Here is a 14,067-nt window from a genome sequence, read left to right as displayed (position 1 = left end):
TGTGCGTGATAAAGGCAGACCTGAGGAAACCCAACCAACCCCAGCTAAATGCAGCTGGTCCTGGAAAATCCAAATTAAAGCCAGCTGCTGGAGTGCAGCGCTCCTTGATGGGAAGGAGTAGTTCATGCCTGGTTTTGCCCCAAGTAGGACATAAATCCAGCCCTCTGGATTAAACTTGCTAAAATGGTCAGTTCCTAGACTATCCAGCTTGTCTGGAGCAAGGTCCTGGAACTAAAAGTGGCTAGAAGGTATCCCTTCTCTGACAGAAAAACCCAAGGATAGGAAGGGCTGGGGCTAGGACCTGCCCTTCAGCCCTCCACCCATTGAAACCAACAGTTAACTAACTGAGCACCAATTTGTGAACTGCTAGGTGCCATGGATGGGGTACAAGATAATGTAGTTCCTGTCCTCAAGAACTTGTAAGTGACAAACGTAAGTAACCCAAACACACATATCAGTAATGAATATCAAGCCGTTGGAGTAAGGGCTGTAATAGAAGTAGAAATAAAGTGCTGTAGCGCTAGTGGGGAAGGAGGGATTAGTGATAGTCTCTGCAATCAGGGAGGCCTCCTGAAGGTAGTTTGGGGCAAGCTGATTGTGTTAAAAATGAGTCGGGCCTGGGGGAGGGAGGGAGGAATGGGTGGAGCACAGAGAGATTTTTAGGGCAATGAAACCATGTTTGTCTGTATACTATAATGGATACATGACGTTACACATCTCTCCAAACCCAGAGAATGTACAATATCAAGAGTGAGCCCTAATGTAAACTGTGGACTTCAGGTGATATCGATGTGTCAATATAAGTTCATCAGTTGTAACAAATTTACCACTCTGGTGGGGAATGTTGATAATGGGGGAGGCTGTGTATGAGAGGAGTGGGGACAATGGCAAATCTCTGTATTTTCTGCTCAATTTTTCTGTGAACCTAAAACTGCTCTAAAAAATAAAGTCTTAAAAAGAAAAAAAGTAGTACCTTACTTACCAAACATGAGCAAGGAAGACCACAATGACACTCATAATAACTACATGGGGTGGGGGGAGGTGATTATGTGTTGGACATGGCTAAAAGTTTATATTTGTTACTTAATCTCTGCAACAATACTGTTGGGTAGGTATTATTTTCTCTATTTAATAGACAAGGAAACTGAGGCCTATGCAGAAAGGCTTGATAGAAAATATAGGGAGAGGAAAAAGCAAAGGTGTGTTTGGGGCAAATAACCTGTTATTTCTAGAGTAGCAGGTATGCCTCATCGGGTGGAAGAAAGGGAGGGACAAGGGCAGGTGTGGGGTCATGATGATAGAAAAGCACAGGAACCCTATGATAAGGCTTTTAAAGCCTCAAAGGAATTTGGACCCTCACACTTTGGACACTGGAAAACCTTTTGAGATTTCAGAGCAAGGGACTCTGCTCAGGGATGTGTTTGACATATGTGGAGGAGAGTTGATAAGGCAGAGATGAGAGGGAGACCTGTGGAGTCATGAGGTGAAGGGAGCTTAGATTAGGGCAGTGGGCAATGCAAAGGCATAGATCCTAAAACTTCCACATGGAGAAATTAAAATGGGCTAGGGGAATAAAGAAGGCAGAGGTACCCTTGATGGAAAACACTGCAATCACATGCTGAGCCCTCCAACCTGCCTCATCAATGCCAGGTCCTATGGTGGGGGTGGGGGCAGATTTCCAGAATCCTACTGAATAGAAGTCTTGGTTCCACCCTGGACTATGATGTGCCAAACCTCTAAAACCAAAGGAGGGCAAAGTCTTCTCAGAGAGCAGCGGTGAAATCCTGAAAATTGTTCTCAACGCCCACATTAAGTGAGGAATCTCAGAATCAGAGTGGCCTGTCACAAGAAGACTACCAGTTTGATGCTGGACCCACTCCTCAAAGGTCAAGGAGTTTTATCATTTCCCAGCAGTCAAGAATCTGGTTGGACTAAACCCTGTATGGGAACGCGGCTCCCGCTCCCCTGCAGAGGCTTTGATTCTGGCTTTTGATTGCCACAGGGCTGGCAGGCTTCCCTCTGGCTCCCACTCTCTCAGGAAGGCATCCACAGCTGCTGGCCACTTGTCACACCCTGTCTGGGAGGTGGCAGCACTTCAGTGGTAAAGCAACAGATCCTCAGGCTGTGGCTAACGGCTTCAATGTTTGTTGGGAATTGTGTCATATTTCCCGAAAGGGCTAACTCCATCTAGTACTGGTAGAATAGTGTTCTTTCCTGTACAATACAATGAAACCTCAATGCCCAACTGAAATAAACAGAATTTTAACAGTGGTCATGTTATGGTGATGCTGAGATGCTTAGACATTTAATTTTTTTATTTTTATTTGTTTTTCAGACAGGGGCTTGTTCTGTCTTCTAGGCTAGGTGCAGTGACGTGATCATGGCTCACTGCAGCCTCAGCTTCCCAGGCTCAAGCGATCCTCCCACCTCAGTCTCCCAAGTAGCTGGGACTACAGGTGCTGCCACTACACCCAGTTAATTTTTAAATTTTTTGTAGAGATGGGGTCTCACTATGTTGCACAGGCTGGTCTTGAACTCCTGGCCTCAAGCGATCATCCTGCCTTGGCCTCTCAAAGTGCTGGGATTATAGGCATGAGCCACAACACTCAGCTGGCATTTAATTTTTTTACCCATGCTTCATTTCTTCCCTTTTCTCTAAATATCTTTAAAATTACTATACCGCTTTAAATATTTTCCTCTTCTCAAAATATCCTTAATTTTAGAAATAAAAGAGTTTTAGTAGTAAAAAGTTAGGCTAGGTGAGGTGGCTCATGCTTGTAATCCTAGCACTTTTGGAGGCCAAGGCAGGGGAAGATCCCTAAGGCTAGGAGTTCAAGACCAGCCTGGGCAACATAGTGAGACCCCCATCTATACAAAAAAATTAAAACTTAGCCGGGCATGGTGATCCATATCTGTAGTCCTGGCTACTTGGGGACCTGAGGTGGAAGGATCCCTTGAGCCTATGAATTCGAGGCTGCAGTGAGCTATGATGGTGCCACTACACTCTAGCCTGGGCAACAGAGCAAGACTTTGTATCAAAAAAAAAGCAGGCAATATCCAACCATATGACATTCTGGAAAATATACAACTATGGAGACAGTAAAAAGATCAGTGGCTCCTGGGGCTGAAGGGGGAGAGAAGGATGAATAGGCAGAACACACACGACTTCTGGGGCAGTGAAACTACTCTGTATGATATACTATAATGGTGAATATATGTCATTATACATTTGTCAAAACCCACAGAATGTACACTAAGAGTAAATCCTAATGTAAACTGTAGTTGGTTTGATAACGTGTCAATTCAGATTTAATTGTAAAAAATGTACCACTCTGGTACAGGACTTTGCTAGTACAAGAGATTGTGTGTGGGGGGTGGGGGACAGGTAAATGGGAACTCTTTGTTTTACACTTTTTGTTCACTTTTGCTGTAAATCTAAAACTGCCCTTAAAAAGTCTATTTTTAAAATTAAAGCAATATACTGGGGGTTAAAAGTTAGACTCAGAAATTGGACTGCTTATGTTCCAGTCCAATTCATTGGCTAAGTGGCCTTAAACCAGGGTTTTAGCCTTCAAGTCTTCAGTTTCCTCAGCTGTATAACTGAAGGAAGTAATAGTACCTACACCTCACTGAACTATTTTGAAGATTAAATGAGAATCCATACAAAGCAGTTAGCATAGTGCCTGGCACATTGAGGGCACTAAATAAATCTTAGCTACTATTATTATTATTATTATTATTATTTTTTAGACGGAGTCTCACTCTGTCGCCCAGGCTGGAGTGCAGTGACGCAATCTTGGCTCACTGCAACCTCTGCCCCTCCACCCCAGTTCAAGTGATTCTCTGCCTCAGCCTCCTGAGTAGCTGGGACTACAGGCGCCTGCCACCACACCCGACTAATTTTTGTCTCTACTAAAAGTAGAGACGGGGTTTCGCCATGTTGACCAGGCTGGTCTCGGGACTCCTGACCTCAGGTGATCCACCTGCCTTGGCCTGCCAAAGTGCTGGGATTACAGGCATGAGCCACTGTGTGCCCGGCCTATTTTTTCTTTTCTTTTTTTTTCTTTTTCTTTTTTTTTTTTTTTTTTTTTTTTTGAGACGAAGTCTTGGCTCTTGTACCCCAGGCTGGAGTGCAATGGCGCAATATTGGCTCACTGCAACCTCTGCCTCCCGGGTTCAAGTGATTCTCCTGCCTCAGCCTCCCGAGTAGCTGGGATTACAGGTGCCTACTACCACACCCGGCTAATTTTTGTATTTTCAGTAGAGATGAGGTTTCACCATGTTGGCCAGGCTGATCTGCCTGCCTCAGCCTCCCAAAGTGCTGGGATTACAGGCATGAGCCACCACGCCCGGCCTATTTTTTCTTTTTCTTAGTAGAGATGGGGTCCCACTGTATTATCCAGGCTGGTCTCAAACTCCTGGCTCAAGCGATCCTCCAACCTCAGCCTCCCAAAGTGTTGAGATTACAGGCTTGAGCCACCGCATCTGGCCTTAGCTATTATTATTATTGGAAATTTTTAATACATAATAGTTAATAAAGTTTTGGCTTTCTAGACATGTTTTTAGGTCCCTTGAAAATTCTTAAAGTGGTTGGGTGCAGTGGCTCACGCCGGTAATCCCAGCACTTTGGGAGGCCAAGGCAGGAGGATCACTTGAGGTCAGGAGTTTGAGACCAGCCTGGCCAACATGGTAAAACGCTGTTTCTACCAAAAACGTAAAAAATTAGCTGGGTGTGGTGGTGCGCACCTATAATCCCAGCTACTCGGGAGGCGGAGGCAAGAGAATCACTTGACGCCTGGAGGCAGAGGTTACAGTGAGCCGAGATTATGCCACTACACTGCAGCCTGGGCGACAGAGCGAGATTCTGTTTCAAAAAAAGAAAAATTTTAAAGTGGACAAAGACTTGTTTTAATGTTAAATACATATGCCTGACTTTTTCTCTCCAAAACGCTGCTTACTCTGATAAACACATTTCACCCTTTTCTCCCAATAAATGAGTACCCATAACCAGGAAAAATTTTGTTCCTTGTACCAAAGATAGGGAGATCCAGCTGTCTAAGACTGAAGTCTGCTTTCAAAACTCGTGTCACCTAGTCTTTAACCTCACCTACTAGTACCTGCCACCCAACCCTACCCACCCACAACTGTTCTTCAGCCCTCTCTTCTGAGATCCAGACGTATATATCCAACCAACTGCTTTCTTGACATCTTTACTTGGGTGTCTCAAAGGAACATCAAGCTCAACTTGTTGCCCTTACCTCAATGAATGACCTATCACCCATTCAGATGTACAAGCCAGCAATGTGGGAACCATGCTCAATTCCTTCCCTTTTACCCCCAGACAATCCCATCACTCAGTCTTAGCCATATTCTACTTTTAAAAATATTGTTGGGCCCCATTTACCTCTTTCCACCTCAGTCTCTGCTTAATTTAGGCCACCATTATCTTTCACCTGGACTTCTGCTGCAGACTTCTAACTGGTTTTTCCTGCATCCTCCTGCCGTCTTCCATCCTTCTTTCACACTGTAGCTTGAATCTTCTTTTAAAAATCCAAACCCGGCTGGGAGTGGTGGCTCACGCCTATAATCCCAGCACTTTAGGAGGCCGAGGTGGGCGGATCACGAGGTCAGGAGTTCGAGACCAGCCTGATCAACATGGTGAAACCCCGTCTCTACTAAAAATATAAAAATTAGCCGGACGTGGTGGCAGGCATCTGTAATCCCAGCTACTCAGGAGGCTGAGGCAGGAGAATCGCTTGAACCCGGGAGGCGGAGGTTGCAGTAAGCCGAGATCGTACCACTGCACTCCAGCCTGGGCGACAGAGTGAGACTCCATCTCAAGAAAAAAAAAAATCTAAACCCAATCATTTCAACATCACTAACAACCCAATGGCTTCCCATTGCTCTTTAAATATAGAGGCAGATATAATACAAAACTCCCAGGGAGGCCAGGACGGCAGACCAGGGACAGCTTGCTTACAGTTAACTCTTGTGTTCCTGCTGTAACAGCATATTTTATTTCATGACTAATAACCTTACTTTTGTTTCTGAGAAAAGGAGACAGGATTACTTTGAATTCTGGTACCCATAAAACTGCAACCATATAGTTCAGAGATAATTAGCCTTCTGAATAGAAACTTTCAAATATCCATGAACTGAGATATACATTTTTTAAAGATGTCATAAAGAAAATTTTTAGCCAGGTAAGACCTTAAAGATGTAGAGCAGGGGTTGGCCAACTACAGCCTGTGGGCCAAATCCAGCCTGCCATTTGTTTTGATAAACAAACACTTATTGGAACACAGCACACTCATTCATTTGTGTATTGCCAATGCTGTCTGCACAAAGCAGTAGAGTGTTTATGACAGACTATATGGCTTGCAAAGCCTAAAATATCTGACCCTAAACAGAAAAAGATTGTTATAGAAAAAAGTGCTCTAGAAGTTTCCCACCATGGGCTCCACATTAGGGTCACCTGGAGTACTTATAAAAGGGATCACCTCACCAGAAGCAGTGGCTCACACCTGTCCTCCTAGCACTTTGGGAGGCTGAGGTGGGCAGACTGCTCGAGCCAGGAATTTGAGACTACCTGGGCAACATAGTGAAACCTCATCTCTATAAAAAAATATAAAAATTAGCTGGGCATGGTGGCGTGTACCTGTAGTCCCAGCTAGTTCAGAGGCTAAGGTGGAAGGATCGCTTGAGGACAAGAGGCAGAGGCTGCAGTGAGCCATGATAACACCACTGTATTCCAGCCTGAGTGACAGAGCAAGACTCTGCCTCAAGAAAAAAAAAAGGATCACCTCAGAGATTCTGATTAAATCTGTCTGAGGTGGGACTGACTAAATCTGTCTGAGGTGGGACCCAATACTGCAATTAAAAAATTTTACATTTCTGCAGGTGATTCTAATATGTAGCCACAGTTGAGAATCACTGATCTAATCCTATCTCCTCTTTCACTGATGAGGAAAGTCAGGCCCAGATGTTAGGATCTATCCCTTTTGTAATAACAACTATTAACATCTATAAAGCCCTGTAAATTCATCTACATTATCTCATTTGATCCTTAGAACAATCTGAGGTTCCAAGAGCAGGAAGCATTACTGTCCCTGCTTCACAGATGACAGAATTGAGACTTGAAGAATTTAAGACATGTGCCTAGGATTCCTCAGGGTCATTGTGAGGGTAGGGGGAGGAGTGGTGTGGTGTGGTGCCGGGGTGTGTGTGTGTGTGTCTCCAATCCCTTTGCCTTCACTTCAGCCAGAGCAGATATATTTTTACTTGCTCAAGTATTGGGTCCCACATACAATTTTGTTTGAATAGCGTTTCACCTCTGAAGATCATTGATCTAGCTCAGACTTTTGTTCACTGTTTTAATCCAAGATGGCATAGTCATTCTGTACCCAAATTCCTGTCACTTCTTACATCATCAACCAGTTTTTCCTTGTTGGTCTATATGAAGTCCAAAATAATAGTTTCTCATAATACCAACATTCCTTTTTGAGAGATGAAGAACTTATCACTTTTAGCAGACCAGACTTCCCACATCTGTCAGGATAACTGAAGTTGCTCATTACTGCTTCCTGCCTACCTCCGTGCATACTGTGTAATCCATTTTAGGAAAGCATCAGCCTCATCCACTCTCTAGCTCAGCCACAGCATTTTTCCTCCCTGCTGCTTATGTCTGCCTCAGCCTACCCCAAATGCTCTCCACTTTGCTTCACTCTTGGGCTTTCCTTTCTATGGAAGTGAAGCACTAATGATGGGGAGGGTGAGGGGAGGAAATAAGACATCTTCTTGCATTTCTTCCTGTTCCCAGAGAAATTCTTTCTATTCCCCTCTCCACAGAGGTAAGAAGCCCCACACTGGGCAAAACACATGCAGCTTTTCATTCCATGGCCTTATTTGCACCCTTCCACAAGAGGAGGAATGACTGATTGGTCAGAGTTCTGGACATTCAGCAGGCTGAGTTTTCATCAGGACTAGTGCCTGAATGCACAAGGTGGTGCCATAGTTAACTTTGTCCTGATAAGTCAGGGTCTATTCTCAAACCTGGTAGGAAGATTATAGTTGAAGGTTGTAGGAAGCCCCCACTGTGAACCTACTTTTAGTACCAAGAATGACAGGGACACCCGGAGTCACACCCATAGCATAACCTCATATTTCAACAGTTATTTGAGGAGGCAATATCAGTGAGTTCTGCAACCCAATCACCAGAAGCACCCTATTGCTCAGGAAAAGCATAGTCCTTAAGTCTTAAGGAAAGAGGTTGTGACCTTTAATCAACATAAGGTCCCAACATTAGGTCCCGGATGCAGTGGCCTGTAATCCTAGTACTTTAGGAGGCTGAGGAGAGCGGGATTGCTTGAGCCCAGGAGTTTGAGACCAGCCTGGGCAACATGGTGAGACCCCATCTCTATAAATATAAAAATTAGCCAGGCACAGTGGCATGTACCTGTAGTACCAGCTACTCAGGAGGCTGAGGCAGGAGAATCACTTGAGCCTGGGAAGTTGAGACTGCAGTAAGCTGTGATCATGCCACTGCAGTAAGCTGTGATCATGCCACTGCACTCACTCTGGGCAACAGAGTGAGACCCTGTCTCAGAAAAAAAGAAAAAAAAATGAGGTTCCAGTGCTTTGGGAGGCTGAGGCAGGAGGATCACTTGAGGCCAGGAGTTCAAGACAAGCCTGGGCAACATGGCAAGACTTCATCTCTCCAAAAAATTTAAATAAAATAATTAGCCAGGTGTGGTGGTGGTACATGCCTATAGTCCCAGGTACTTGGGAGGCTGAGGTGGGAGGATTGCTTGAGCCCAGGAGTTCAAGGCTACAGTGAGCTAGGATTGCACCACTGTACCCCAGCCTAGGTGACAGAGTAAGACCCTGTCTCTTAAAAAAAATAAAATAAAATAAAATATTAGGAACATTTTTGCCTTCTTATTTTAATAGGATCATGTCTCTCACTTTACAAATTCTCAAAACATATGGTTCCCTTTTTACATACATATATAAACACTTTTAAACATAAATATCAAATGCATGAGAATCATATGGGCAGATAAATTTAGGAAGCCAAGAACACAGAACGAAAAGCCAGTCACCAGATCTTACAAATAATCATCTAAACTTCTCTGGCCATTCAATTTGATACATTATCCCAAATATTCCATGTCACATGGTCCACAAGGTTTTCTTTTGGGATTCTGAAGCAATCAATAGCCATACTTGTCATTAAGATGGGTTCTGCCATCTCCACTTTGACCTAGATCAGAATATAAAAAAAGAAATACATTATTTACTCTTCCAAAGTCAGGAGAGAAAAGATATCCAGATATCAGTAGGCCAAAAAGTAAAATAGACAAAAAGGTTTATTCTACGGTAGAAATTTTACTTTTTGTATGAAATTTCAAAATACAGCCCTCTTTCATTTCTACCCTAACATTTGTTAGCATAGAAAAAGCAGACATCTCAAGTAACTAAATTATATTAGTTACTAATATATTAGAAATCTCAAGCTGTGATGAACATATGAGGAAGTAAGTATCTCATACATTGCTTTAAGGGTGTGTGTATGAGCATAAAACTGGTACAATCTCTATAGAATGCAATTTATAATATCTTTAAAATGTTTATACCTTTGATCCAGCAGGTTAACTTTTATGATTTTTTTTCTATAGATGCTCCTCTCTACTTAGCATTTTATATATAAGTATCCATAAGAAACTAACAACAATTGGTTGTCTTGTGAGGAAAACAACCGAGTAGCTGAGGCACAGCCAGAATTGTTTTCCTTTCTTTTGACTTGGTAAAACCCAGATAACATTACACCTGTAAACACTTCCGTATATATTCCTAGAAGACAAGGACTTTTTCCAAAAAACATAACTCAACATCATTCACACTTTAAAAAAATAAAAAATAATTTCTTAGTATCATCAAATATCCAGGTAGTGTTCAAAATTATCTGACTGGCTAATAATTTTTTTAAACAGTTGTTTGTTTGAATAAGGATCCAAACATGGTATACAAATTATCACTACATACTCTTGTAACTTTCTTATGTTGAACCTTAAATCTATATTACCTATTCAAAAATATAAATAAATGAACCTTAGAGGAAAAAAAAGTAAAAACAATCTACCTTCAGGTGGGACCCACACACAGTAGTCTGGGTCATCTTCAGGATATTTGGAAGAAAGTGTTGGTGGAAGCTAAAAAGAAAAGATGGATTGTTTTATTCACAAGAATTTCTCTCCAGAAACCTTACAACTGCAGAAGGGATTGGGGTCCTATTGTTAGCCTCCTTAAGCAGAATAAACATTAGTCAAGAATTTTGTATCCAACAAAACTAAGTTTCATGAATGAAAGAGAAATAAAGTCTTTTTCAGACAAGCACATGCTGAGGGAATTTGTCACTACCAGACCAGACCTACAAGAAATGCAAAAAGGAGTTCTAAATCTTAAAACAAAAGGTTGGCATGCACCAGAATAGAACCTCTTGAAAGCATAAAACTCACAGGGCCTATAAAACAATAATGTAATGAAGGAAGAAAAGTATCTAGGTAACAATCAACATGATGACTGTAACAGTACCTCACATCTCAATATTAACATTCAATGTAAATGGTCTAAATACTCCACTCAAAAAAAAAAAAAAAATCACAGGCTGGGCGCAGTGGCTCACACCTGTAATCCCAGCACTTGGGGAGGCTGAGGTGGGTGGATCACCTGAGGTCAGGAATTCAAGACCAGTCTGGCTAACGTTGCAAAATCTCTACTAAAAATACAAAAATTAGCCAAGTGTGGTGGTGTGTGCCTGTAGTCCCAGCTACTCGGGAGGCTGAGGCAGGAGAATCACTTGAACCCGGGAGGCAGAGGTTACAGTGAGCTGAGATCACACCACTGCACTCCAGCCTGAGCTACAGAGCGAGATTCCGTCTCAATAAATAAATAAATAAATAAATAAATCGCAAACCAAATATCTGCCATCTTCAAGAGACTCACTTAACATGTGAGGCTTCTTATAGACTAAAGGTAAAGGAGTGGAAAAAGATATTCCATACAAATGGAAGCCAAATGCAAGCAGCAGTAGCTTTTCTTATATCAAATAAAATAGAATTTAAAGCAACAACACTGAAAAAAAGACAAAGAAGGCTATTATATAATTATAAAAGGATCAACCCAACAAGAAGATATTACAATCCTAAATATATATGCACCTAAAACTGGAGCTCCCAGATTCATAAAACAACTACTACCAGACCTAACAAAAGAGAAAGACAGCAACACAATGATAGTGGAAGACTTCACACTCCACTGACAACAGCAAACAGATCATCAAGGCAGAAAGTCAACAAACACTGGACCTATACTATACTCCAGAACAAATCAACTAACATATTTACAGAACATCTACTCCAGAACTGCAGAATATACAATCTTCTCATCAGTGCCTGAAATATTCTCCAAGATAGACCATATGATAGACCACAAAACAAATCTCAAATTTAAAAAAATTGAAATCATATCAAGTATCTTCTCAGACCACAGTCGAATAAAACTAGAAACCAACTTGAAAAGGAACCTTCAAAACTATACAAATACATGGAAATTAAACAATCTGCTTCTAAATGATTTTTGGGTTAACAATGAAATCACTGGAAATTTAAAAATTCTTCAAAATAAATAATAGTGACACAAGTTATCAAAACCTCTGGGATACAGCAAAAGCAGTGCTAAGAGGAAAAATTTATAGTGTTAAATGCCTACATCAAGAAGTCTTGAGCCAGGCATGGTGACTCACGCCTATAACCCCAGCACTTTGAAAGGCCAAGGCAGGAGGATTGCTTGAGCTCAGGAGTTCAAGACCAGCCTGGATAACATAGCAAGACCTCATCTCTATTTAAAAAAGAGAGAGAGAGAGAGAGAGAAAAGTCTGAAAGATCACAAATTGACAACCTAATGTCACACCTCAAGGAACTAGAGGAACAAGAACAGACCAAATGAGGCTGGGCGCGGTGGCTCATACCTATAATCCCAGCACTTTGAGAGGCTGGGGTGGGCAGATCGCTTGAGTCCAGGAGTTCAAGACGAGCCTGGTCAACATGGTGAAATCCTGCTTCTAACAAAAGTACAAAAATTAGCTGGGCGTGGTGACACACGCCTGTAATCCCAGCTATTCAGGAGAGCTGAGGCAGGAAAATTGCTTGAACCCGGGAGGCAGAGGTTGCAGTGAGCTGAGATCGCACCACTGCACTCCCTGGGCAACAGAATGAGACTCTGTCTCAAAAAAAAAAAAAAAAAGAACAGATTAAACCCAAAGCTAGCATAAAAGAAATAACAAAGATCAGAGCAGAACTAAATGAAATTGAAACAAAAGAAACTGCAAAAGATCAATGAAAAAAAAGGTGGTTTTTGAAAAGATAAACTAAATTCATAGATCATTAGCTAGATTAGACAAGAAAAGAAGATTCTATATTAGTTCAATTAGAAAGGAAAATGGAGACATTACAAGCAACACCACAGAAATACAAAAGATCCTTTGAGACTACTATGAACACCTCTATGCACACAAACTAGAACATCTAGTAGAAATGGATAAATTCCTGGAAACACACAACCCTCCTAGACTGAATCAGGAAGAAACAGAAATCCTGACCAAACCAATAAAAAGCAGTGAGATTGAGTCAGTAATTAAAAAATATTACCACCAACAAAAAAAAGCCCAGGACCAGAAGGATTCACAGTCAGATTCTACCAGACATTCAAGGAAGAATTGGTACCAATCTTACTGAAAGTATTCCAAAAGAATGAGAAAGAAGGAATCCTCCCTAACTCATTCTATGAAGCTAATATCGCCCTGATACAAAAACTAGGAAAGGACATAACAAAAAAAAAGAAAACTAGAGCCCAATATCCCTGGTGAACACAGACGCAAAAATCCTCAATGAAAGACTAGTAAACTGAATCCAACAGCATATCAGAAAAATAATACACCCTATTCAATACACCATGATCAAGTGGGTTTCATCCCAGGGATGCTGGGATGGTTTAACATATGCAAGTCAATAAATATGATACATCACAGCAACAGAATTAAAAACAAAAACCATATGATCATCTCAATAGATGCAGAAAAAGCATTCAATAAAAGTCAGCATCCCAGGATCATTTGAAGCTAGGAGTTTGAGACCAGCCCGGGCAACAAAACAAGACTTATTTCTACAAAAAAACCCACAAAAATTAGCTGGGCATTGTGGTACACAACTGTAGTCCCAGCTACTCAGGAGTCTGAGGTGGGAGGATCACTTGAGCCCAAGAGATTGAAGCTTGCAGTGAGCCATGATCACACCACTGCACTCCAGCCTGGGTGACAGAGCAAGACTCGGTCTCAAAAATAAAAATAAAAATAAAAAATAAAATTTTTTTGCAGCAACTTGGAGCTAGAGGCCATTATTTTAAGCAAAGTAACTTAGGAGTGGAAAACCAAATACCATATGTTCTCACTTATAAGTGGGAGCTAAGCTATGGGTATGCAAAGGCATACAGAGTGGTATGATGGACTTTGGAGACTCAGAGGGAGGAGGCTGGGAAGGGGATGAGGAATAAAAAATTGCATATTGGGTACAATGTACACTACTTGGGTGACAGGTGCACTAAAATCTCAGATTTCATCACTATATGATTCATCTATGTAACCAAAGAACCATTTGTAACCCAAAAGCTATTTTTTAAAAATTATATATATAGGTATAATTTTAACTCTAAGAACTATTGTCCTTATGCCTGTTAGCAAACAAAAACTAACAGAGAACAGTTTCTATTAATGATCTTGACATAAGTAACCTACTTGGGGGAATATTCTCTCTCTGAACCTTTTTTCCATAAAGCATCACAAGCTGATTTTCAGCCAGTGAGTTACATGACACTCTTTAAAAGGGGCAGTTAACACACTGCAGGTGTGAGTGCTAAATGGTACAGCCCCCATAGAGGGAAATTTGGCATTTACCTTTTGGCCAAGGTTTAGAAAAGTTAACAGAGCAAGGCTGACTGCTATCCATTGAAAAC

General features: G+C 41.6%; 1 protein-coding gene across 1 annotated transcript in view; it reads right to left on the bottom strand.

The window, feature by feature from the left end:
* SLC4A1AP (solute carrier family 4 member 1 adaptor protein) overlaps positions 8,927-14,067 on the bottom strand; it is a 31,081-nt gene continuing 25,940 nt past the window's right edge. The window contains exons 13-14 of the mRNA NM_018158.3: positions 10,142-10,211; positions 8,927-9,262 (exon numbers count right to left, since the gene is read on the bottom strand). Of these exons, the coding sequence (NP_060628.3) occupies positions 9,213-9,262; positions 10,142-10,211 (120 nt within the window). The 3' untranslated portion in view covers positions 8,927-9,212. The remainder of the gene's footprint in view (positions 9,263-10,141; positions 10,212-14,067) is intronic.

The sequence above is a fragment of the Homo sapiens genome, chromosome 2, assembly GCF_000001405.40.
Source record: "Homo sapiens chromosome 2, GRCh38.p14 Primary Assembly".
Lineage (NCBI taxonomy): Eukaryota > Metazoa > Chordata > Mammalia > Primates > Hominidae > Homo > Homo sapiens.
The sequence above is the reverse complement of the archived record's forward strand: the minus strand, read 5'-3'. Positions and strand labels throughout refer to the sequence as shown.